Below are 24,355 nucleotides of genomic sequence, written 5' to 3' on the forward strand. Positions count from 1 at the left end.
AAGGCCACTCAAAATGAAAGATGTGGCATCTCTTCTGGAACTATAAATGTTTTTGCGGGGGACCAAACTCTTAGCATAAAGACAAGCATCTTTCTAGTTTGAGTACTCTGGTTTTTAGAGAATTTACATTCTGTCTCTGAAGCATGACCTTTCTGGATAATTTACTTTTGTGTCTGCATGCTTGGTTTAACATTTTGTTTAATCCACATATCTGCATTAACATATTTGTGAGTACGCTGATTTTTGGTTCATTTTGGTTTGGTTATGTGCATTTGTAAATAATTTAGCTCTTCTTGTTTTCTTTGCTTGTTTCTGAACATCTTCTGAGAGCAAAAATAAACATTCCAAATGATGAATGTGAGATGGAAAATTAAAAGCCACTAGGGCAATTGCTCCAACTAAAACCCAGTTTCAAACTCCCTGACAGGATTTACTAACATAAGATTTTCTTTGCTCTTGAGAGATTAATAAGAAAAAAAAATGGGACTCTTAAACATTAAGGCATGCCAAGCTTTCTGGGACCCCAGTCAGGTACATAGCTTTTTTTCCTGTGCAGGTTTTAAAATCTGTGACCATGATGAGGATTATTAGAACTTTCCAAGCTTGTTTTTATTATATCTGAATTAGAAACTGCAGCCAACTATAGAGTTAACATGTAGGGTCTTTTAAATTCTCTGTATATCTCTGTATTGCTTTTCCTGCCTACTCTAAATATTTTGGCTTTTTTTTTTTTTGCTTTTATTAAGATAATGTACTATTGCTAATTTCAAAAGTCACTTAGAAGTCTTAGGGCATTTCAAACAAATTAAGAAAAAATGTCTTAAGGAGCTTTCAAATTATTGATTTTACAAATTATAACAACTCCATGACAACCAACAACCTGGACACCTTTGGAAAAGTAAATTTAGGTTTGTCTGAGTGATAATTGCTTAGGCTGATAGAATAGTTAACTAAAGAATTGATATTTAAAAAAAAAAGAAAGAAAAAATAATAAAGAAACAAGTAGGCTTTCAGACCAAACAGATCAAACTCCTGGTCTGAGATAAAAACTATAAGGTATTCCTGTCTGGCATAAGAATTGCTTTGCCAGCAATGCAGGGTCCAGAAAACACCAAAAATAAAAATAAAAATAAAAATAAAAACCTTTGGATACACTCTTCCTTTTAAAAATAAAAGCACTACTAAAATGCTTTCCCTACTGACATTGACTAGTCTAACAAAGCAGATGAATAAACAAAAGAAAGATTTGTTACTAAAAAAATTCAAAGGCACTTGGGGATATTTTTCCTATACACTTCAGCCAGTCCTAGCGAAAATGTAAACATTTGAAAATTTAACCTCAAATTCATTGCAAAATGAAAAAAAGGACAGAAAAGGGATAAAAGAAAATTTTTGAAAACCAAACTGCTTTACCCAAAAATTGGGATCTGCAGCTTTCATTCGATTACCTATAGGAGCAAATAAAATTTAGCCATCTGAACAGGTCTTATTTTGTCAGAAATATAATTTGGATCCAGCTGTCTTTTATAAACCAGTGAGCTTGTATTACTTTGTTTTATTGTCTCGCGACTTAAATTTTGCAGTGAAAGCTATAAGATGTTTATTTCTGTGTTTGTATATGTGTTTAGGTCTTTATATATGTATGTTTTGTTTACGTGGTATAACCTGGTGTAGTTGGCCAGAAATCCCTACAGAAATTATATTTAGATTGGCTTACATAAATGAACAGTTATATAAACTATATAGTAATTAACCAAATGCCTTTTAATTATGTGATTTAAGTAAATCTTTGAAAATAAGCTGGTTTGAAATTTGTTGATAAAATAAAGACAAAAATGTTTTCAAAATTTTCTACATACATTTTTGCCTAGGTTTACAAGTCACACAGAGTTTTATATTTGCCACTGCTTTAAATTTTAAGGTCATCAAACTATAAACCCAACCTTCGGACAAAAACTCCTTCTTTGTCTCAAATCCACTTTCATTTGATTTTTGTATATGGTGAGAGATAAGTGTTTAGTAACATAATTCTGCATATGAACCTCATTTTCCCAGGACCAGTTATTGAAGAAACCGTCTTTTCCCCAATGTATATTCTTGGCAACTTGTCAAAAATTGATTTGCTATAGATGTGTGGATTTGTTTCTGGGTTTGCTATTCTGTTCCATTGCTCCACGTATCTGTTTTTATGTCACTACTATGCTGTATTGGTTACTATATCTCTGTAGGATAATTTGAAGTCAGGTAATGTGATTCCTCCAGTTTTCTGCTTTTTGCTCATGATGGCTTTGTTTATTCTGGGTTTTTGTGGTTCCATATACATTTCATTTTATTTTATTCTATTCACATTGAGAGTGGCACTGGTAGGTTTTTAACTTTATTTCTTGCTGTTTAACTGGGATTACTTTTAAAATTTCTTTTTCAGGGTGTTCACTGATAGCATATAGAAATGCTACTACTATTTATATGTTGATTTTGTATCCTGCAACTTTACTGAATTTGTTTATCAGTAATAATACTTTTTTGGTGGAATCTTTAGGTTTTTCCAAATATAAGCCCATATCCTCTGCAAACAAGGATAATTTTATTTCTTCCTTTATAATTTGGATGCCCTGTATATCTTTCTTTTTTAATTGTTGTGGCTAGGACTTACAGCAATATGTTGAATAACAGTGGTGAAAGCAGGCATCGTTTTCTTCTTCCAGATATTAGAGAAAAGAATTTCAGTTCATCCTCATTCAGTATGATACTAGCTGCGCTTCTATCATATATGCCTTTTATTATGTTAAGGTATGCTCCTTCTGTACTCAGTTTTTTGAGGGTTTTTGTCATGAAGGGATGTTGAATTTTATCATAGGCTTTTCCAGCACCAATTGAAATGATTATATAGTTTTTGTCCTTCATTCTGTTGACATGATGTATCATACTGATTGATTTGTGTACGTGGAACCACACTTGCATGCCTGGGATAAATCCCACTTAGTCAGGATGAATATTTTTTACTGTGATCTTGAATTTAGTCTGCTAGCATTTTCTGGAGGATTTTTGCATCCATATTCATCAGAGATACTGGACTGTAGTTTTTTTTTTTAATGTGTCTTTGTCTGCTTTTGGTATCAGGACAATACTGGCCTCACAGAATGAGTTTGGAATTACTCCCTCCTCTTCTACTTTTCAAAATCGTTTGATTAGGATTGGTATTAGTTATTCTTTAAATATTTGGTAGAAGTCAGCAGTGACGCCATCAAGTTCCAGGCTTTTATTTATTGGAAAACTTTATTATAGCTTCAATCTCATTACTTGCTATTGGTTTCTTCAGATTTTGTATTTCTTCCCGTTTCAATTTTGGTAGGTTTTATGTGTCTACAAATTCACTCATTTCCTCTAGATATTTCAATTGATAGACATATAGTTTCTTATAAGAAGTCACTAGTGATCATTTGAATTTCTGCTGTATCAATTGTAATGCCTCCTATTTTTCGTCTCTAATTTTATTTATTGGACATTCTCCCTTTTTTTGTTAATTAGTCTGGATTTGTCCATTTTAACTTTTCAGAAATTCAACTTTTGGTTACATTGATATTTTGCATTGTTTTCTTCATTTCAATTTCATTTGTTTCTGCTCTGATCTTTATTATTTCTTTTTTTTTCTACTAAATTTGGTTTTGGTTTGCTCTTGCTTTTCCTGTTACTTAAGATGCATTATTAGGTTGCTTATTTGAATTTTTATTCTTTTTTGATGTAGACACTCATAGCTATAAACTTCCCTCTTAGTACTGTTTTGCTTTATCCCAGACATTTAAATATGTTGCGTTTCCATTGTCATTTGTTTTGAGAAAATTTTCAATTTCCTTCTTAATTTAATTATTAATTCACTGGTTATTCAGGAGTATATTGTTTAATTTTCATGTGATATGGTTTGGCTCTGTGTCCCCACCCAAATCTCATGTTGAATTGTAATTCCCAGTGTTGAAGGAGGGGCCTGGTGGGGGGTGATTGAATCACGTGGGCAAACTTCTCCCTTCTGTCCTTGTGATAGAGTTCTCACAAGATCTGGTTGTTTGAAAGTGTGTAACACCTTGCCCTTCTCTCTCTTACTCCTGCTCTGGCCATATGAAAACCATGCTTGCTTCCTCTTCACCCTACCCTATGATTATAAGTTTTCTGAGGACTCCCCAGAAGCAGAAGCCTGTAGAGCCCAAAGAATGATGAGCCAATTCAACTTATTTTCTTCATAAACTACCCAGTCACAGTTATGTCTGTATAGCAGTGTGAGAATGAACTAATACAGAAAATTGGTACCAGAGAAGTGAGGCATTGCTATAAAGATGCCTAAAAATGTGGAAGTGATTTTGGAGCTGGGTAATAGGCAGAGGTTGGAACAGTATGGAGAGCTCAGAAGAAGACAGGAAGATGAGGGAAAGTTTGGAACTTCCTACAGACTTGTTAAATTGTTGCAACCAAAATGCTACTAGTTATATAGACAGTAAAGTCCAGGCTGAGGAAGTTTCATATGGATATGAGAAACTTATTAGGAACTGGAGTAAAGATCACTCTTGCTGTGCTTTAGCAAAGAGACTGGTGGCATTGTGCCCCTGCTCAAGAGCTCTGTAGAACTTTGAATTTGAGACAGATGATTTAGGGTATCTGGCAGAAGAAACTTCTAAGCAGCAGAGGATTCAAGTTGTGGCCTGGCTGCTTCTAACAGTGTATGTTCATATGGGTGCACATAGAGATTATCTGAAACTGCAGCTTATATTTAAAAAAGAAGCAGGACATAAAAGTTTGGAAAATTTGGAGTCCAGCCATGTGGTAGAAAAGAAAAACCCATTTTCTGGGGAGAAATAAAATTCAGCTGGAGAAACTTGCATAGATAAAGAGGAGCCAAATTATAACATCCAAGACAATGGGAAAAGTGCCTCCAAGACATTTCAGAGATCTTCCTGGCAGCTTCTCCTATTATAGGCCTCAGAGCCTGAGAGGGAATACTGGCTTTGTGGGCCAGGCACAGGGCCCCGATATCCTGTGCAGCTTCAAAACATGGTGCCCTGTGTCCCAGCTGCTCCAGCTCCAGCTCCAGCCATGGATACAAAGACCCCAGATACATCTCAGGCCACTACGACAGATGGTGCAAGCCAGAAGCCACCAATGCTGCCACATGGTGTTAAGCCTGCAGGTATGCAGAGGGCAAGAGTTGAGGCTTGGGAGTTATATTATTCCATTCTCACATAACTATAAATAAATGCCTGAGACTGGGTAACTTATAAATTCTCATGTAACTATAAATAAATGCCTGAAACTGAGCAACTTATAAAGAAAAGAGGTTTAATTGGCTCATGGTTCTGCAAGCTGTACAAGAAACATGGCTGAGGGAGGCCTCAGGAAACTTACAATTATTGTGGGAGATTAAGTGGAAGCCAGCCCATCCTGCATGGCTTGAGCAGGAGAGAGAGAGAGAGCAAAGGGGGAAGTGCCACGGACTTTTAAACACTCAGATCTTGTGAGAATTATATCACAAGGTAGCACTAGAAGGATGGTGCTAAGCCATTAGAAACCACCCCCATGATCCAATCACCTCCCACCAGTCCCCACCTCCAACACTTGGAATCACAATTCGACATGAGATTTGGGTGGGAACGTAGAGCCAAACCATATGAGGAGCTTCCACATAGATTTCAGAGAATGCATGAAAATGCTTGGATGCCCAGGCAGAAGCCTGCTGCAGGAGCAGAGCTCTCACGGAGAACCTCTACTAGAGGAGTGCAAAGGGAAAATGTGGGGTTGGAGCTTCCATACAGAGTCCCTACTGAGGCACTGCATAGTGGAGCTGTGAGAAGAGGGCCACCATCCTCCAGACCCCAGAATGGTAGATCCACCAACAGCTTGTACTATGTACCTCAAAAAGCCAGAGGCACTCAATGGCAGCCCATGAAAGAAGCTGTGGGGACTGTATCCTGCAGAGCCACAGGGGTGGAGGTGCCCAAGGCCTTGGGATCCTACCTCTTGCATCAGCATGATCTGAATGTAAGACATGGAGTGAAAGAAGATTATACTGGAATAAGATTTAATAACTGCCCTGCTGGGTTCTGGACTTGCATGGGGCCTGTAGCCCCTTTGTTTTGGCCAATTTCTTCATTTTTGAATGGGAACATTTACCCAATACCTGTACCCTCATTGTATCATAGAAGTAACTAACTTTTTTTTTATTTTACAGGCTCATAGGCAGAAGGAACTTGCTTGTCTCAGATGAGACTTTGAACTTGGACTTCAAGTTAATACTGGAATGAATTAACGCTCTGGAGAATTGTTGGGAAGGTATGATTGTGTTTTGAAATGTGAGAGGGACATGAGACTTGGGAAGGTCTGTGGCAGAATAATATGGTTTGTCTCCATGTCCCCACTCAAATCTCATGTTGAATTGTAATTCCCAGTGTTTGAGGAGGGGCCCGGTGGGATGTGATTGAATCATGGGGGCAAACCTCCCCCTCGCTGTTCGCGTGATAGAGTTCTCATGAGATCTGGTGGTTTGAAAATGTGTAGCACCTCCCCGTTCTCTCTCTTCCTCCTGCTCTGACCATGTGAAGACCATGTCTGTTTCTTCTTCAACTTCCACCATAATTGTAAGTTTCCTGAGGCCTCCCCAGAAGCAGAAACCTGTACAGCCCACAGAACGTGAGCTGATTAAACCTCTTTTCTTTATAAATTACCCAGGCTTAGTTATGTCTTTACTGCAGTGTGGGAATGGACTAATACAGCATGCATATGAATAGTTTCCAAAATTCCTCTTGTTATTGATTTCTAGTTTTATTTCCTTGTGATCAGAGAAGATGCTTGATATCATTTCAATTTTTTGAATGTTTTAAGACTTGTTTTGTGACCTCATATATAGTCTATCCTTGACAATGATCCATGTGCTGAAGAGAAAATTATGTATTCTGCAGACATTGCAAGAAATTTTCTGTAAATATTTTTAGGGTTGTTTGTTCCATAATACAGATTAAGTCTGATGTTTGATTGTTGATTTTCTGTCTGGATGATCTGTCTAATGCTGAAAGTTGGGTGTCGAAGTCTTCAGCTATTATTGTATTCAGATCTCTCTCTCTCATTAGCTTGAATAATATTTGCTTTATATCTAGGTCCTCCAGTATTATGTGTATATATATATTTACAATTACATATCCTTTTGAGGAATCGAACCCTTTATTTTTATATAATGGCCTTCTTTGTTTCTTCTTACAGTTTTTGTTTTGAAATTTATTTCACCTGTGATAAGTATAGCTACACCTGTATTTTTTTTTTTTTTTTTGGTTTCAAGTGGCATGGGGTATCTTTTTCCATCTCTTTATTTTCAGCCAATTTGTATCTTTATAAATGTAGTATTTATTGTAGGCGACAGATCATTGCACCTTTTTAAAAATAATTCATTCAGTCAGTCACTCCGTGTCTTTCTAATGGTGAGTTTAGTCCATTTATATTCAATGTTATTATTTATAAGTGAGAACTTACTCCTGCCATTTTGGTATTTGTGTTCTGGCTGTTTTATGGTCTTGTTTTCCTTCTTTCTTTCCTTCTTGTATTCTTTTTAACGAAGGTGGTATTCTCTGGTAGAATAACTTAATTTCTCTCTTTTTAATTTTGTGTATCTATTGAATGTTTTTTTAAATTTAAGATTACCAAATACTGTCTTGCAAATACTGCCTTAGAATTCATTATTTTAAGCTCATAATGCTTTAACACTGCGTATAAAACAAACAAAAAAAAAAACAGGAAAACTAATAAAAACTCCATACTTTAATCCATCATTTTTTAACTTTTTTGTTTCTGTTTATGTCTTATTGTACCAATCTTGAGTAGTTGTTGTAGTTATTATTTTTTATTGTTTCAGCATTTAGTTTTTCTGCTTAAGTGTAGTTTACACCCCACAATGACAATGTTGTAATACTCTGTTTATTTGTGTGCTTACTACTACCAATGAATTTTGTACCTTCAGATGATTTCTTCTTGTTCATAAATGTCATTTTCTTTCATATTGGAAAAATTCCTTTTAGAATTTCTTGTAGGAATGGTCTAGAGTTGACAAAATCCCTCAACTTTTGTTTGGGAAAAGTCTTTATTTCATCTTCATACTTGAAGAATAATTTTGATGGATGTTCTGTTCTAGTGTAATTGTTTTTTTCCTTTTTCAGCACTTTAAATATGTCATGCTACTCTCTCCTGGTTCATAAGGTTTTCACTGAAAAGTCAGCAATTAGATGTACTGGAGTTCCATTGTATGTTACTTTCTTTTCTCCAGTAGCTTTTACTATCATTTCTTTATCCTTGGCCTTTGGGAGTTTGATTATTAAATTCCTTGAGGTAATCTTCTTTGGGTTAAATCTTCTTGGTATTATATAACCTTGTACTTGGATACTGATACCTTTCTCTAGGTTTGGGAAGTGCTCGTGTATTATCGTTTTGAGTAAATATTCTACCCCTATTTCTCTTCCTACTTTCTCTTTAAGGCAAGTAACTCTTAGATTTGCCTGTTTGAGGCTGTTTTCTAGATCTTATAGAAGCTTCCCACATTTTCAATTCTACATTCTCTCAAACAGTGACTGACATGACAGTTTAACAGGGCGTGACATAAAGAGCTTGACATGACAGCAGCGTGGTGAATACTTCTTGAATAAATAAATAAAGGAATATTGAAGTTCAAAAATAGGAGTTGTAACCACCAGGGTAGTCTTTATATGAACCTAGTTTCAATGAATGGACACCTTCATCAATCACATCAATGTTAAGCTATGAAGATACTTACATCAACACTGCCAAAATGGCAGTGATCACTTTGACGGGAACAATGTATCTCACATATTCACAATGTACCTGTGACTGAATTTTACACAAGAACCTAATTGTCCTATTCCAGAACTTCCTGGAACTTAGTGAGTGTGTGTATATATATATATTTTATATATACTTGTGTGTGTGTGTGTTTATATATATACACATAAGTATATATACATAAGTATATATGTGTGCATATATATAAATAAATATATATGAGTATATATAAATAAATAAATTTATATATATACTCACATATATACACACACACACATATATATACACACACTCATTTTATATATATATTCACTGTATATATATACTCACTATATATATAATTTTAGGGTAGGATCTTGTTACTATTATTTGTAAATATATATACAAATTATATATGTACATTAATTACTTATAATTATATTATATGTAACTGTATTTTAATATTCATATCTATATATTTATAAACATTCCTCCTCAAAACTTGACCAAGGAAACATTGCCACCATATTTTGTCAAGGTGTTTAACAAAAGCTAGAGTCACCAATTATTTTCTGGAATCACTAGCCGTATTATATATATATATCATAATAAAACCAAATTTATACAAAAACTACGTGCTGTAAAGTTTCGCAAAATTTTGGAAAGTATGCACAGTTCTGCAAAATCAGCAAGAGGAAGCATCCATTTATCAATGTATCCTATCTATCTGGTTCCTCCAATACCAGAAATTGCCCAGACATAAAATGTATTTATTTTATAAATAAAATCATCCTGAAGTTAGCATTCCATTGGGAAGAAAAAGAATGCCATCTAGAATATGTTAATTTGTAACTAAAGTATATTAAGTTCTTTAAAATAACTAATAACTATTTAGTCACTCTTTCATACACTTAGCTATAATGATTGAAAAATATTTGGATTTGGACTTGTCAAATACATTACCTAAAATTGCTAAAAGTAATTTAACAGTATCAGAAGCCAACACAGTATATATTTTTCTGAGAAGAAATGTGTGAATTTGTTACATTCTAATTAACTCTGCTCTAGTAGGCAAGTAGGAAGAGAGTTTGCAGGGAGTACAACCAAGAAAACTCCCACTTCAAAAACTGGGATAATTCAAGAAGTAGAGGAGGAAAGAGGCACTCTGAAACATTATGTTGGTTTCCTACATTAAATAGAATACGTTTCCATTTCAATGCACTCTGCTGATTTATATTTATACATTAGGAAGACATAAAAACATTTTATGTTATGCTTTTCAGCCAGTCAAGGAAAAATTAGCATAACAAATTGGCTGCAATCTTAGACAATTTTAGGGAAGGATCTTGTTACAAAAGATGTAAAAGGTTTTAAAAATACATGAAAGTAAAAAGAAGTTGTGCGTTTTTAAAAACATGATTTAACTAAAGGCTTTATTGTACCTAATTAGAATAGAATTAAACATTATCTCAATGCTAAATTTCTTAGAATAATTAAATATAAGAAAAGTCAGAGTTTTGTCTTTTAAAAGTTCATATATTTACAAATCAGGCATTATTAGTGTATAGTGCAAATGATTAGTCACACCCGGAATAAAGGCAAAAGAGCTTGAGATGGTTTTAAGGAATATTACATGTCAGACAAGGATCGCAGTATCCACTCCCATCAACTTAGCACAGGGTTTCACAAGTGGTAGCAGTACCAGCCCTAGTGCAGCAGCATCTCTTGTTATTTAATACCTTATTAATCTTAGCAATCAAAAGGTGGTTAACCAGGTGAAGATCCCAGAAGTAGAACTGTCACATGCAAAAACTACTACCTAGGGACTGGTTCTGGTGTTATTATGGGAAGACAGAGGCTAACAGAGTAGAAAAGCAGCACTCCAAAACATAACAGCGAACTTTCAATGTTCCGTTAAGAATAGGTTAAATGTCTGTTGTCTGATTAACCAAAAGTCAACAGTTTAATAAATATGCACAATGTAAACGAACATAGCAAGTGAAAACTTTCAGGATTGTACTTAGAAAACTACAGTCACCCAGAGACTATCTTTTCGTTGCCTAAATAAAATAATTTTAAATAGGAAAAGACAGGCTGATTAAAATGAGTGTCGGTTTCAGGACTCCCTCTTTTCAAGCTGCCAGAAACTTGTCTAGTCGAGCCGCCCCTGGAGTCCGCATTCCAAGGCTCACGGCTCGGGTTTCTGGGCGAGGAGACCAGCCCAGTCCTCCATGGAGATTACCTGGGGCTGCAGCCGTCCACGGGCTCCTCCTTCCCCCTGGTCCTCGGCCTCACCCGCTCCCCAGGGCGGCCCCGCGTCCGGGCGGCTCTCTGAGGCTACGCGGTGCCCGGTGTCCGGCGGGGACGACTAGCGGGCGACCCCTCCCATCTCGCTCCCCACATCCCCGCGGACACAGCTGGTGGCGACTCAGACCTCTCGGGCAGCGGCTGCAGGGCGAGCACAGAGGGGACTCCGATGCGAACCGAGGCCCCGGGACCCGCCAGGCCACCCGCGCCGCCGCCCCTCTCCGGGTACGCGCGGGCCCGCTCGTCCTGGGACTAACGAAGCAAAGGCGGGAGGTGCCTCCATCGCCTTCTGCCTGATCCTGGCCTTCGTGGAGACCCAGGCAGGCCAGGCAGTTCAGACAGCCGCTCCGGGTGGGGTTGGTGGCTGCAGCCAAGGACAGGCCTGGGTCACATTACCTGGGGAGAAGGCAAGGCAGGAGGGCTGCTGTTCTGGGAGCTTCAAAGCTCTGCACAGTCACATACAAAGGTGTTTACGCCCCACTCTGAGGGGGATGCGTGGGAAGAGACACATTATTAATTCGAAATGGTAATTAAAAAATAGCAAAATAGGGTGACTGTCACTTGGCCTGGTAGTAAATCACTCCAGATCACATCTCTTCATTGACTTTCGGTGCTCCCTTCCCCACCTGTCTTATGGGTTGCCTGTCCCTATCACCACAGCTGACAGACTGAGAGATCCCCAAGGAAAATGACTGAGGTGTTGCTTCTAAGTCCTCAGCACATGGTAGGCACACACCAGATGGTTCTGTTGAATGAGCAGAGGAATGTGGATGGAAAGGGCGAGCTGGGCATTTCCCCAGGCTCTAGAAGGCAAGTACAAGACCAGCTATTGAAGGAATAGTTTTGTTGTATTGTTCTCCAATCCTGGTATATAATTGGCAGTGTGGGAGGGGAGTTCAGTCTTCCTTTTCCTTTCATTTTGGTTCTATTAAGACAGAGCACAGAAGAACTAATCATCCTCTACTTTCAGCCCCTGTGCTTCAGGTAATACAGACTCCTGCCCTGACCACAGGTGATCATTGGAGTCATTGCACCTCCTAGTGATAGCTATTGTTGCACAGATAAGTATAATAAGTAGAGATAGGTGAAACCCACTAAAGACAAAAACAACCATCCCTATCAAAACAGTTTCCATTCATGTGAAATGAACAAAAATGCACATTTACAATCTGTATCTGTGTTAACTATTGAGCCTCTGTTAGCTCTCTCCTTGCCTGTTATAATACATTCTGAAATAATCTAAACCCACTTAACACCCAGCTGAATATCACAATAATCCTTATAATAAGGCCTTGTTGGTCAATCTGAATGTACAAGAAGTAACTAGTGTCATGGAGGCCCTGGTTAAACACATGGATACCGAAAGGTGATAGATAAATCCCACAGAGATACATATCACAAAAACATTGATGGGTCTGGTGGTCTGTAACATGCTAGGACATCCCTTCCAAAGGATGTATGATTACATGTTGCACCTCCCAATGTTAATAAGGAAGTGTAATATGTGATATCGCTTTATAGATTCTGGAAGTGATATATTCCATGCTTGGTAATACTGCTTTGATGTATAAACTAGGTAACACTAAAGACTACCAACTGCTTGAGAACTAGAGCAAGAAAAGATACTGCAGTACCTTTGGGCTGCAGTTCAAGCAGCCCTGATGTTTGATCATGGCAAACATCAATGTAATTAGATACCATGTGGAGTTTATGTAAACCACAGGCTCTAGATATTCATGTTAAAGTTTTTAAAATGTTCTTCAACAGTTTAAATTGTGGTAAAAAAAACAACATGTAACATAAAGTTTTACCATCTTCACCATTTTTAAGTGGACAGTTAGAAATAGTCACATTGCTGTGAAGTTGATCTCCAGATCCTTTTCACTTTGCAAATCTGAAATTCTAGACCCATTAATCAACTCCTCTTTTCTCTCTCACCCCAGCCCCTGGTAAGCACAATTCTACTTTCTTTGTCTATGAATTTTATTCCTTTAGGTACCTCATATAAGTGTAATCATACAGTATTTTTGTGTGTGTGATTGGCTTATTTCACTTAGCATAATGTTTTCAAATGTATTAGTAAGGGTTCTCCAGAGAAATAGAACCAATCAAGTTCAATTATGAAGTGTATATAGAGTGTATAAACCAATAAAATGTGTATTGGTCATACACACACACACACACACACACACACACACACACACACACACAGATTTTAGGAGGAATTGGATTGGCTTACATGATTATGGAGGCTGAAAAGTCCCACAATCTGCTGTCTGCAAACTGGAGATCCAGGAAAGCCAGTGGTATAATTTAGTCTGCGTCAAAGATCCAAAAATGAAGGCAGCCAATAATGTAAATCCCAGTCCAACTGTCAGGGGAAGAAAACAGGCCATTTCTTTATTTTTCTACTTTTTATTCTATTCAGAACCTCAATGGATTGGAAGATGCCCAATTCACATTGAGGAGGATAATCTACTTCACTGAGTCCACCTATTCAAATGCTATTCTTATCTAGAAAAACCCTCTCAGACACAATCAGAAACAATGTTTAATCTGGGCAACTCATGGACCTTTCAAGTTGACACATTAAAAACAACCATCACATAAAGATTCAACCATGTTGTAGTATTCAACAAGATTTCCTTCTTTTTAAAGGCTGAATGGTGTTCCATTGCAAATATATATATGCATATATTTCCAATGCGCATATATATATTTATTTATATACACACTACATTTTGTTTCTCCATTGATCTACCGATGGATATTTGGGGTGCTTTCACCTCTTGGTAATATGAATAGCGCTGCTTTGAACACAAGTATGAAAACATTTCTCTCAGAACCTGCTTTCAATTCTTTTGCTATACCCTGTAGTGGGATTGCTGAATCATGTAGAAGTTATATTTTAAATTTTCTGAGGAACCTCCATTGTGTTTTACATAGCAGTTGCATCATTTTACAATCACACCAACAGTGCACAAGACCTCCAATTGTTCCACATTCTCACCAACACCTGTTATATTGTTTTTGTTTTCTTGATAGTTACCATCTTAATGGATGGGAACAGATACATTTTTGTGGTTTTAATTTGCATTTTTCTGATGATGACTGATGTTGAGTATATGTTCATATATTTGTTGGCCACTTGTACACCATCCTTACGCAGTTTATTATTTAAGAACACAAATGATTCAGATGCTTTGTCTTTGCGTGAATCTCAGATTATCCTTGGTCTTGATTTGTTTGTATAAATATATGCTATGATTTTCATTAACATTCTAAAGTGCTAATAAAAATTATGGCAACTCAAATGCATTTCTTTTTTAGCTTAAGCATTTTAAAAGTTGAATATTTGCTAAATCATATTTTCATAGGTATCTAATTGAAACTCACATGAAATCTAATTGCTTCACAGTTCTTTCAACTCTCAGCTTCTCTAGAGACTGCCCCCTAGATAAAACTAGACCTCTGTGATTGCTGTTCCACTCCTTCTACTCACTGTTCTGTCTATACCAGTGGTTCTCAAATGTTGTGACGCAGTAGAATTACCAAGGGATATTTTAAATAGCCTGCTGCCAAGGTCATTTTCCACACCAATTAAATTAGAATTTCTGGGATGAAACTTAGACATCAGCATTTTTTTTTAACTTTCCTGATGATTTTAATGAGAAGCCAGGTTTGAGAATTAGTGGTCTACACTTCTCACAGGGCATAACATACCAGCTATTTCCTTAAATTTTTGATGTCCCTAAAATAAGAGAACATCAACTAGCAAATGTACTTTTCTACTTCATAGGTTATTTACTGGCCTGCATGTGTATAGATTTATTATATGTTTTGTTAGACAGTTAGTGGGTGAACACAGGCTACTGAACAGCTTAAAACTTATTATAGTCAGTATTTTTCACTGATTAAAAACATAATTTTCAATGTAAAATTTATAATTCTATTTTATCCATGGAGATAGGACTCAAAAAGAATATATAAAAGAAAGAAATGCAAACCTGTTTCAGAATTATTTAAAAATGTATCTGATAAAAATTTATAATAAAGCGGTATGGCTGATTGCTTTTGTCTTTAATATACGTTATTCTTAATTGAAGCAATCCTGTCCATATGATTGTAGCGTTTTTCTTCAGGAAATAAAAAAAAAATAATGAAAACATGAGCACTACATTGTGAAATAAAAAAAGACATTTTTATGGAGCTTGTATTTCTATAAAACATCACTCTTGAATTCAAGGTGAAAATATCGATATGTAATCAGAAGTTCTTATCTTTAAGAAGTACTTCACAAAAAGTAAAAAGAATGAAACTGACATGCTCCTTTTTGGAAATTTTCATATCATGTATACCTGCTATTTGATATTATAAGACCATAGGAACAAGGATCCAAAATGCACATACACAGTACTTAATTAAATAGTTGCAAAATGTTTTTATTTGCTGACTTTACATTAATACATTTTATTTGGAACTAATTCAAATTTTCTAATGTGAAAACTAAAATAGAAAAATTAACAAGATTATTTAATTTGCAAAATATTTAACTATTATCTCATTAACCTCTAAGAGTTTTGTTTGCACTATTATACACCTCCTTTTATGGGTGACACCCTTAGGGGCTTAGGAGATATACTGACTTGTTCAATCTGTAACTCAGTGGTGGAGAAAACCCTCAACTCCAGTCTTTTTATGTAAAATTCTTATTCCTTTTTTGATAATTCTACTGCTGGGAAGTTACTTTCATTGAGGTGAAACGGTATTATAATAACTATCTCAGATATTCTAATAATAAAATCTCTGTGATCATTTAAATTTCTAAAAACAGATAACTGTCTTCCAGTAGCACAACAAAAATTTTTGTAAGCTCTCACTTTTTTTCTTTCTGAAAAGAAACAAATATAAATAATAAATATGTTATTTGTATTTGACAAAATTTTAGAATATATTATTTTTGCTTGAAGGAGAGATAACAGGATGTTTTGCTTACAGGTGGTAAAATAAAAAGCTGGTGTACATAAAAAGCCTCAATTATGTTTTTTTCCCTTTCATTGGTGAATCATTTATTATCTCAATAAAGAAACTCTGGAACCCATTTTGAAACATTTTATTCTCTAAGATTCTATATGAGATAAGACATCTCAACAATTTGCCATTTTAAGAATAAGTCCATATTTTAAAATTAGGAAGAAGCAGTATTCTATCTTTTACTCGAGCTCCTTTCATGATGGCAAAGCAAATGCTGCCACACGTCATGCAAGAGATGTTCCTTGTAATTCTCTGCTCCAGACCAAGCATCATGTTTTGGGTCTCCAGCTACATCTTTGACCAGAATTCATTGATCAGACCTTAGCCATCTTTCTCTGAAACCAGTATCACAATAATATAGGAATAACCAGAATGAATGCTGGGTAGTGAAAAAGATGGAGTCAAGTACTCTCAGAAACAAAGGCTGATATTTCTAGTAGCTGATATCAATAATCTACAATCAAGAACTCACTGATTCCTCTGAATCAATTTACAATTAATTTAACCAATACCAGAGTATCATCATATTTATTTCATCTTACAATGAAGTGAAAAAGGCTTAAGACTTTTTTTTAGAATAAGGGATATTGGGTTCCTCTCTAAGTCCCTGTTCCTCAAATATGCCTCTGAGTTAAAAATCATTTGGAATTCATAAAATGTATATACTGGATTTCCAAACCAACCTATAATTCAGAATATTCGATAGTGATACGAGGACCTATATTTTGTCAAGTATCCAAGACAAGTTTTAAGAACTTCTATTATTTCCATTTAAGCTTTAATTTTTGTCTTAAAAACAGCTTCTGAACCTTGCATTATGGATATTTGGGGTCATATTATTTAGTTTAAGGGGTTTGTTGGATGTTTGGTAGCATTCCTGGCTTCTACCAACTATGTGCCTGTAATTCCATCCTCCAGTTGTGACAACCAAAAAATCTCCAGACATTGATAAATGTTTCTTGAGTGGAAAAAGTGCCCCGTTTGGAAGCACTATTATAAAGTATCAAGGAAAAAGTCTTTAAGGACCTAAATATTTTTTCAGTTCCACTGAATCCAATGGTTCTTATATATCTTAATGTTAGGGACAATAGTTTTTTATGCAAAGATAACCATAGACTCTATCAAAAGAAAAAAAGAAGAAGAAAAAATAAACTATATGTCTTTTAACAGTCTATTTTATTTGAAGAAATTTTCCCCTAATCCAATTTGGAAATTTAGTTGCACTATTATTTTTATCTAAAATTTAGGAAGAATTTAAAATCCCGGGATTTCCTTTTTTTCTAGCTTTAAATTTGTAGAGTAAAGCTGTTTCAATATGATATATAACATTTACAGTTATGTTATCCTTAGAAGAAAGAGTAATCAGAGATAAAGCTCACAACATCATAATAAAAGCATTGCAATCAAATCCTATTATGATTCCAGAGATGGGTTGTATTTTAGTAAGATTTCAGAAACAAGAAAGAACACTAATCATTAACTTAGAATGACCGAAGAGCCCTCAATGTTATTTTTTTAAGCAGAAAAAATAATAAAATTATTTCATGACGCATTAAAAGCAGAGATGCTGATGGATCGTCACCTCTGTGTTTAGAGATCAAGGTTCTCCACAACTTTCCATAAGAGGAGCAGATTCTTACAAAATGCCTCCGAGCATAATTTTAACTCGAGTTTAAAATTTAATATTATTTATTATCAATGAATGTGTGTGTACTTTAAACGTGCAGTAAAGATGATTAATTTCTCTGCACACATGAAGTAAACACAATTGAAAGCTGTATTTTTTTTAATTCAGAGAAAGAAAATTGGATGTAGAATAAAGTCAATAATTATTTGTGGGGCAATCTGAGGTGGTTTAACATCTGGGACACCTGAGGACGCTGGATTGCCTTCTGCACACACTGTGCCCCACATATTCAAATCTTTACACTGGTGAGATAAGTTTAAAAACTGTATCAAAAGTAGGATTAAAGGGAAGAAGTTAATGATAAAACAGGGACATATAGGAAAAGACTTTTTTTCGCAGTTTTTAAAAATATTTTAATTATACTTTAAGTTCTAGGGTATATGTGCACAACGTGCAGGTTTGTCACATAGTTATACATGTGCCATGTTGGTTTGCTGCACCCATCAACTCGTCATTTACACTAGGTATTTCTCCTAATGCTATCCCTCCCGCAGCCTCCCATCCCCCAGGAAAAGACATTTATATAGAAGTAGGAAGGAACATCAAACTCATTTTGAGCATAATTTCATTTGGGAGTAAAGAGGCCATCTCTTAAAAGCACTGGCTTTAAACTAACATTTCTTTTCCAAAATTGTTATTGTCACTATTATGACATTTTTTCACCTGTAGGAGCTGGAACAAAAATCTCAGTTTATATAAGATCCCAGCTTCAGTTCATAGCTTCTAATTCAGAGAAAACTGATCTCAATTGTTTTCTAAAATGCTTAGTTAAAATAACAAATGCTTTCAACCTGAATAGAATATATACATAGAATTTTTGAGAGTGTGCATTATCACTGCTGAACTAGAGCATAAAACAAATACTTTAAAATACTCAATTATCACAGTGAGAAAAGAAAAGATACACAGATGGGAGGATAATTTTTTAACAGAATAAGCGCTGGAAGTATGTAGACAAAAATGCTGCATATTTTTCAGAACCCATGAAAGATAAAAAAAATAGAGTTGTGGTAATTTTTCTGATTGTTCTTTTTAAGGGTGTCTATCTATGTGACCTCTTTATTGGACACACGATACTGATCAACATGTGTTTTCTACCATAGATTTTTTTTCAAAATTTTCTCAAAGTAGCTTTGACATACATCTTCAAGAAATATATTGACCCAAAAAGAGAAATACAGTAGAATAACATAAAAGAGAATTCAGTGATTCAGTAATAGACATTGAAATTATGTTTAAAATAGATTGTTAGTGACTAGAGGCAATTAATGGACAATCTGTTGATAGTGTATGGTATGAAGAGATCGTAAATGTTTCTGAGTGAATTGATCAGTTCTGTTACATTTTCTGAGTAGAAGATTAATGGAGTAAACTTAGCAAAAGACTGAAATAACTTTGTTTTATTATGTTACTTAGCCAACTGATATTCTAACATTGGAATTTTTAGTGCATTTTCTTGTTATAACTTTGCTTTTTGTAATTTACCTAGCCATTTGGAACTTGTTCCCCATAGTACGTTAGTACAGGTGAAGTCTGCATCTTTAACAAGGGAATATTTATTTTATTTATATACCTACGGCAATATTTACTTTCATTACCATAACACTGTCCAAGGTACTTCATCGTAAACATGTATGATATAGTTGAAGCAGACATACAGTAACTTAAGCATCCTTGAATATATTCTGTTTCTTACTAGGTGAAAAAGAATTTTAGTGCAATTCAAAGATCTATATTTTTTCCTCAGAGTCAGTCTTCATTGATTTTTAGCGCTTGATCCACTGAAAATGTGTTTTAACATACTGTTACTTTTTATTCACTCTCTGATCTGTGTATTTTGATTAATCATCTCAGAATCCCTGAAAGAAACTTCGGGTGGAATTTGACTGGGAACAGGGCCCAGGAGCTACATGCTTTAGGCTTTTTGTTATATTACTGATAAAATTTCTGCTAAAATTTTTCCAGTTTTAGCAGAAAACACTTTTAAGATTTTTGCAAAATGCTGACATTTTCTAATTCTTATTTTGTGTTACTTTTTGTCTGTGCATATGATTGATTTATAATAAATTTTTATTAAGTATTAAGCACTTTTGAAAAGAAAATGCATTAAAAGAGCAATAATTGTGGTGAATAGAGTGATACATTAATGAATAAAATAATTATTTGTCATTTAGCTTCATAGATGCATTGTATATTTTGGTTTAATGAACAAACTCACCTCAGTATGTCACCCAATAAAGTATTATGATTTACAACCTTACAGCTTTTTAGGCCTCCTTTTTTTTCTTGCCTTACATTTCTTCACTTTTATCTACAATACTGAATTAGCAGCAAAAGGCACCTTGATATTTGTTAAAATATTAATAGACTTTATTGTTTAGAGTAGTTTTGTGTTTACATAAAATTATGTAGATAGAACTGAAAGTTCTCTTGTACTGGCTCAGTTTCTGGCTCACAGTTTTCCCTATTATTAACATCTTGTGTAAGTACGGTTTATTTTGCTGCAACTGATGAGCAAATACAGAAAAGTTTTTATTAACTGTAGTCTATAATGAACTTTAGCATTTACTCTGTATTGTATTGTTCTGTGTGGTTTGACAAATGCATAATTTCATGTGTCTTGCATTAAGCCTTTTGATGTTTACTTTCAATTCTGTTAATGTGCTAAAAGGTCAAATAGGAAGAAATATTTCCATATTGTAAGTCATATTTTTCCCCCAAGCTTAAAAGGTTTGTAGTCCATTGTTAGAAAAATACACTTTTGGTCATATTTGCATGAAAAGAAAAATCTTTTGATAATAAACTTAAAACTAAAAATTGCATTATAAATATGCAACAATATAATTATCAGTATATTTGGTAACCACAGATTTTACTTTACAGTATTATATACCTACTTAACATAATTCTATAAAGTAAAGGTGAAGATTTTCAATAAAAATAAAAGAAACTATAGAATTGCAAGATCAATGGACTGAGCTTAACTTTTATAAGAGCTCCAATATTTTAGGTGGAAAAAGATGGAATTCAATAAACCAAAATCTGGCTAGTCAAATATTATCTTTATTTTCAATATGGAGAGCCTGTATCTGTTGAGACAATCATGTAGTTTTTGTTTTTAGTTGTTTATGTGATGAATCACATTTATTAATTTGCATATGTTGAGCCAACCTTGCCCCAGGGATAAAGCCTACCTGATTGTGGTGGATTAGCTTTTTGATATGCTGCTGGATTTGGTTTGCCAGTATTTTGTTGAGGATTTTTGCATCAATGCAAAATGAAGTTAGCTGCATCAATAGACTTTTCCTTTCACAGAAATTTTCTCTGTAGTATGTGATGCTGCTTGCTAACATTTTACACACATAAAAACTTTCTTTCAAAATTGGAGTCCATTGGCTCAAACACTGCCCATGCTTTATAAGTCACGTTCATGGAAATGCTTTGTTGTCATTTCAACAATGATCGTGGTATCTTCAACAGGAGTAGATTTCATCTTAAGAAACAACTTCCCTTGCTCCTCCATAAGAAGCAAATCCTCATACATGAAAGCTTTATTGCGGCTTTGAAGCAATTAGGTCACATCTTCAGACTTTGCTTGTAATTCTAGTTCTCTTGCTATTTTTACCACATCTACAGTGACTTCCTCCACTAAACTCTTGGACCTTTCAGAGTCATCCATGAGCATTAGAATCAACTTCCTCCAAACTGACTTCCTTTCATGAATCAGAAATGTTGCTAATGGCATCTAGAATGGTGAATCCTTTTCAGGTTTTCAATTTACTTTACCCAGTCCATCAGAGGAATCATCATCTCTGGCAGTTATAGCCTTACAAAATGTATTCACCAAATATTCAGACTTGAAAGTCAAACTTACTTCTTGATCCAAAGGATCCAGAATGGATGTTGCATTAACAGGCATGAAGACAACACTAATCTTGTATATCTCCATAAGAGCTCTTGGGTGATAAGATTCTTCGATACTGAGAAGTAGTATTTTGAAATGAATTCTTCTTTTTCCTAAACAGTATATCTCAACAGTGGGCTTAAAAATATTCAGTAAACCATTCAAAACAGATGTGTTGTCATTTAGGCTTATTGTTTCATTTGCAGAGCACAGGCAGAGTAGATTTAGCCAAACACTTAAGGGTGCTAAGATTTTTGGAATGGTAAGTAAGCACTGGCTTTAACTTAAAGGCATTAGCATTGACTCCTAACAAGAAAGATGGCCTGTTCTTGGAAGCTTTGAACACATTGACTTTTTATTTTTTGCTATGAGTTTTGGATAACATCTTCTTCCAATAAAAGACTGTTTCACCTACATTGGAAATCTGTTGTTTATTGCAGCCACCATCATTAATTATCTTAGCTAGCTCTTCCAGGTAACTTGCTGCAGCTTCTACATCAGTCCTTGCTGTTTTACCTGTGTTATGGAGGGGCTTCTTCCCTTAAACTTCATGAACTAAATTCTGCTAGTTGCAAATTTTTCTTCTTTGGCTTCTTCACCGAAATCTTCATAGAACTGATGACAATTAGAGCCTTGCTCTGAATTAGGCTTTGGCTTAAGGGAATGTTGTGGCTAGTTTGATCTTCTATCCAGACCGCTCAACTTCTCCCTGTAAGCAGTAAGGCTGATTGGCTTTTTTGTCCTTTGTGTGTTCAGTAGAGTAGCACTTTTAATTTCCTTCAAGGACTTTTGTTTTACATTCACAACTTGGCTGAACTGCTTGGTGCAAGATGCTTACCTGTCAATCTGCCTCAGCTTTCGACATGCCTTCCTCACTAAGCATAATCATGTCTAGCTTTTGATTTAGTGAGAGACATATGACTCTTTCTTTCATTTGAACACTTAGAAAAAATCGCAGGGTTATTAAGTGGGCACATTTCAATATTGTTGTGTCTCAGGGAATAGGGAGGCTCAAAGAGAAAGAGAGAGAGAGAGAGACAGCAAGAGAGAGAGAGAGATGAGGCCCATCGGTGGAGAAGTCAGATCACACACAACATTTCCTAATTTCCCTGTCTTATATGGGAACAGTTGTAATGCTTCAAAACAATTACTATAGTAACATCAAATTTTCTGATTACAGTTACCATAACATATATAATTATAATTAAAAATGTACAACATTGCAAGAATTACTAAAATGTGACACAGAGACATGAAGTAAACATGTTGGAAAAATGGCACCAATAGTCTTGCCCAACACAGGGTTGCTACAAACCTTCAATTGGTTAAAACCACACAACATTTGTAAAGTGCAATAAAGTGAAACAAAATAAATGAGATATGCCTGCATAGATTAGAATGGTTGATATGTGGGTATATATATATACACACACATATATATGTATATATACACACACACACACACACACAGAGGCACACACATATACATACTGTATCATTATAAACAAGGTAGATGTAGCCCTACAAAATATATTTACTAAATAAGACTTGAAAGTCAAGTCTTAATAATTAGTCTTATCCTCCTGGATCCATAGGTTGCAGAATGGCAGAATGCATGTTGTGCTGGCAGGCAAGAAAACAACATTAATCTTCTTGTATATTTCCATGAGAGAGCTCTTGAGTGTGTGTGTGTGTACATATATATACATATATATATATATATATATATATATATATATATATAAACCATTTGGAATATATATGCACATTATATATAAACCATTCTAAATTGTTATTATATATATGTATATGTGTGCATGTATATATATGTATATATGTGTGCATGTATATATACACATACACATACACATATACCCATTTATAATTGTTTACATATATATGTGTGTATATATATACAATATCACTGTAAACAAGGATTATATTTTACACAATATTTTGTTTCAAAGAGCTTTCTTAACATGAATGCTTAATTTTTTTTTGTAAAGTTGGCAATGTTAACATTTCTAGTTTTCCACTGACCTAAGCAATGAGTTTGATTTTTGACGCATCATGGGCAAAACTATAAAAGCAACTTGTTTTCTATGATTTAAGTTGATAAAATAACATGTTATTTCAGAAGCAATTGAAAGTGCTGTGCAGCAAAGAGTTATTTGATTGTTAGAGATCTCAGAATATTAGAGTTTATTATAAGAAAAATACTTAGGAAAGCAATTCTTTGTGGGTGGATGATTTTATGAGAAATAATTATGTTAATAGCAATTTTATGTTAGGATAATCTGAATTAAGTTTTATGTCACCCACTCTCTTCCTTCAACATTGCTGTATATATATGACTTGTTTACAGGATTTCTCACATATACTTTGTATCTAGGAATGTAGAATTTATCATCCTACTTTTTTTTAAATACAAGAAGTCTGTGTTAAAATGTGGAGCATTACTATATTAAGATAAATGCATATTTAAACAATTATTACATAATTTTATTTGTTTTCAAATTAGCTTGAAATTTAAACTTACAATATGCAAATGCAGGTAGGGTTCTAACAATATTGGTACATTAAATTGTAGCAGTGTTAATTAGCATGTTCTTTCTGGAAAG

The 24,355-nt window shown here is 34.7% G+C and overlaps 1 long non-coding RNA gene across 4 annotated transcripts in view; it reads right to left on the bottom strand.

Moving 5' to 3' along the window:
* The window catches only part of LOC107986306 (uncharacterized), a 201,750-nt gene that overhangs the window by 164,023 nt on the left and 13,372 nt on the right, over positions 1–24,355 (bottom strand). For all 4 annotated transcript variants that reach the window (XR_001741797.2, XR_001741800.2, XR_001741798.2 and 1 more), the window contains one exon: positions 13,349–13,480. This is a non-coding gene — a long non-coding RNA (uncharacterized LOC107986306). The remainder of the gene's footprint in view (positions 1–13,348; positions 13,481–24,355) is intronic.

The sequence above is a fragment of the Homo sapiens genome, chromosome 4 (genome assembly GCF_000001405.40).
Source record: "Homo sapiens chromosome 4, GRCh38.p14 Primary Assembly".
NCBI classification, from domain to species: Eukaryota; Metazoa; Chordata; class Mammalia; order Primates; family Hominidae; genus Homo; species Homo sapiens.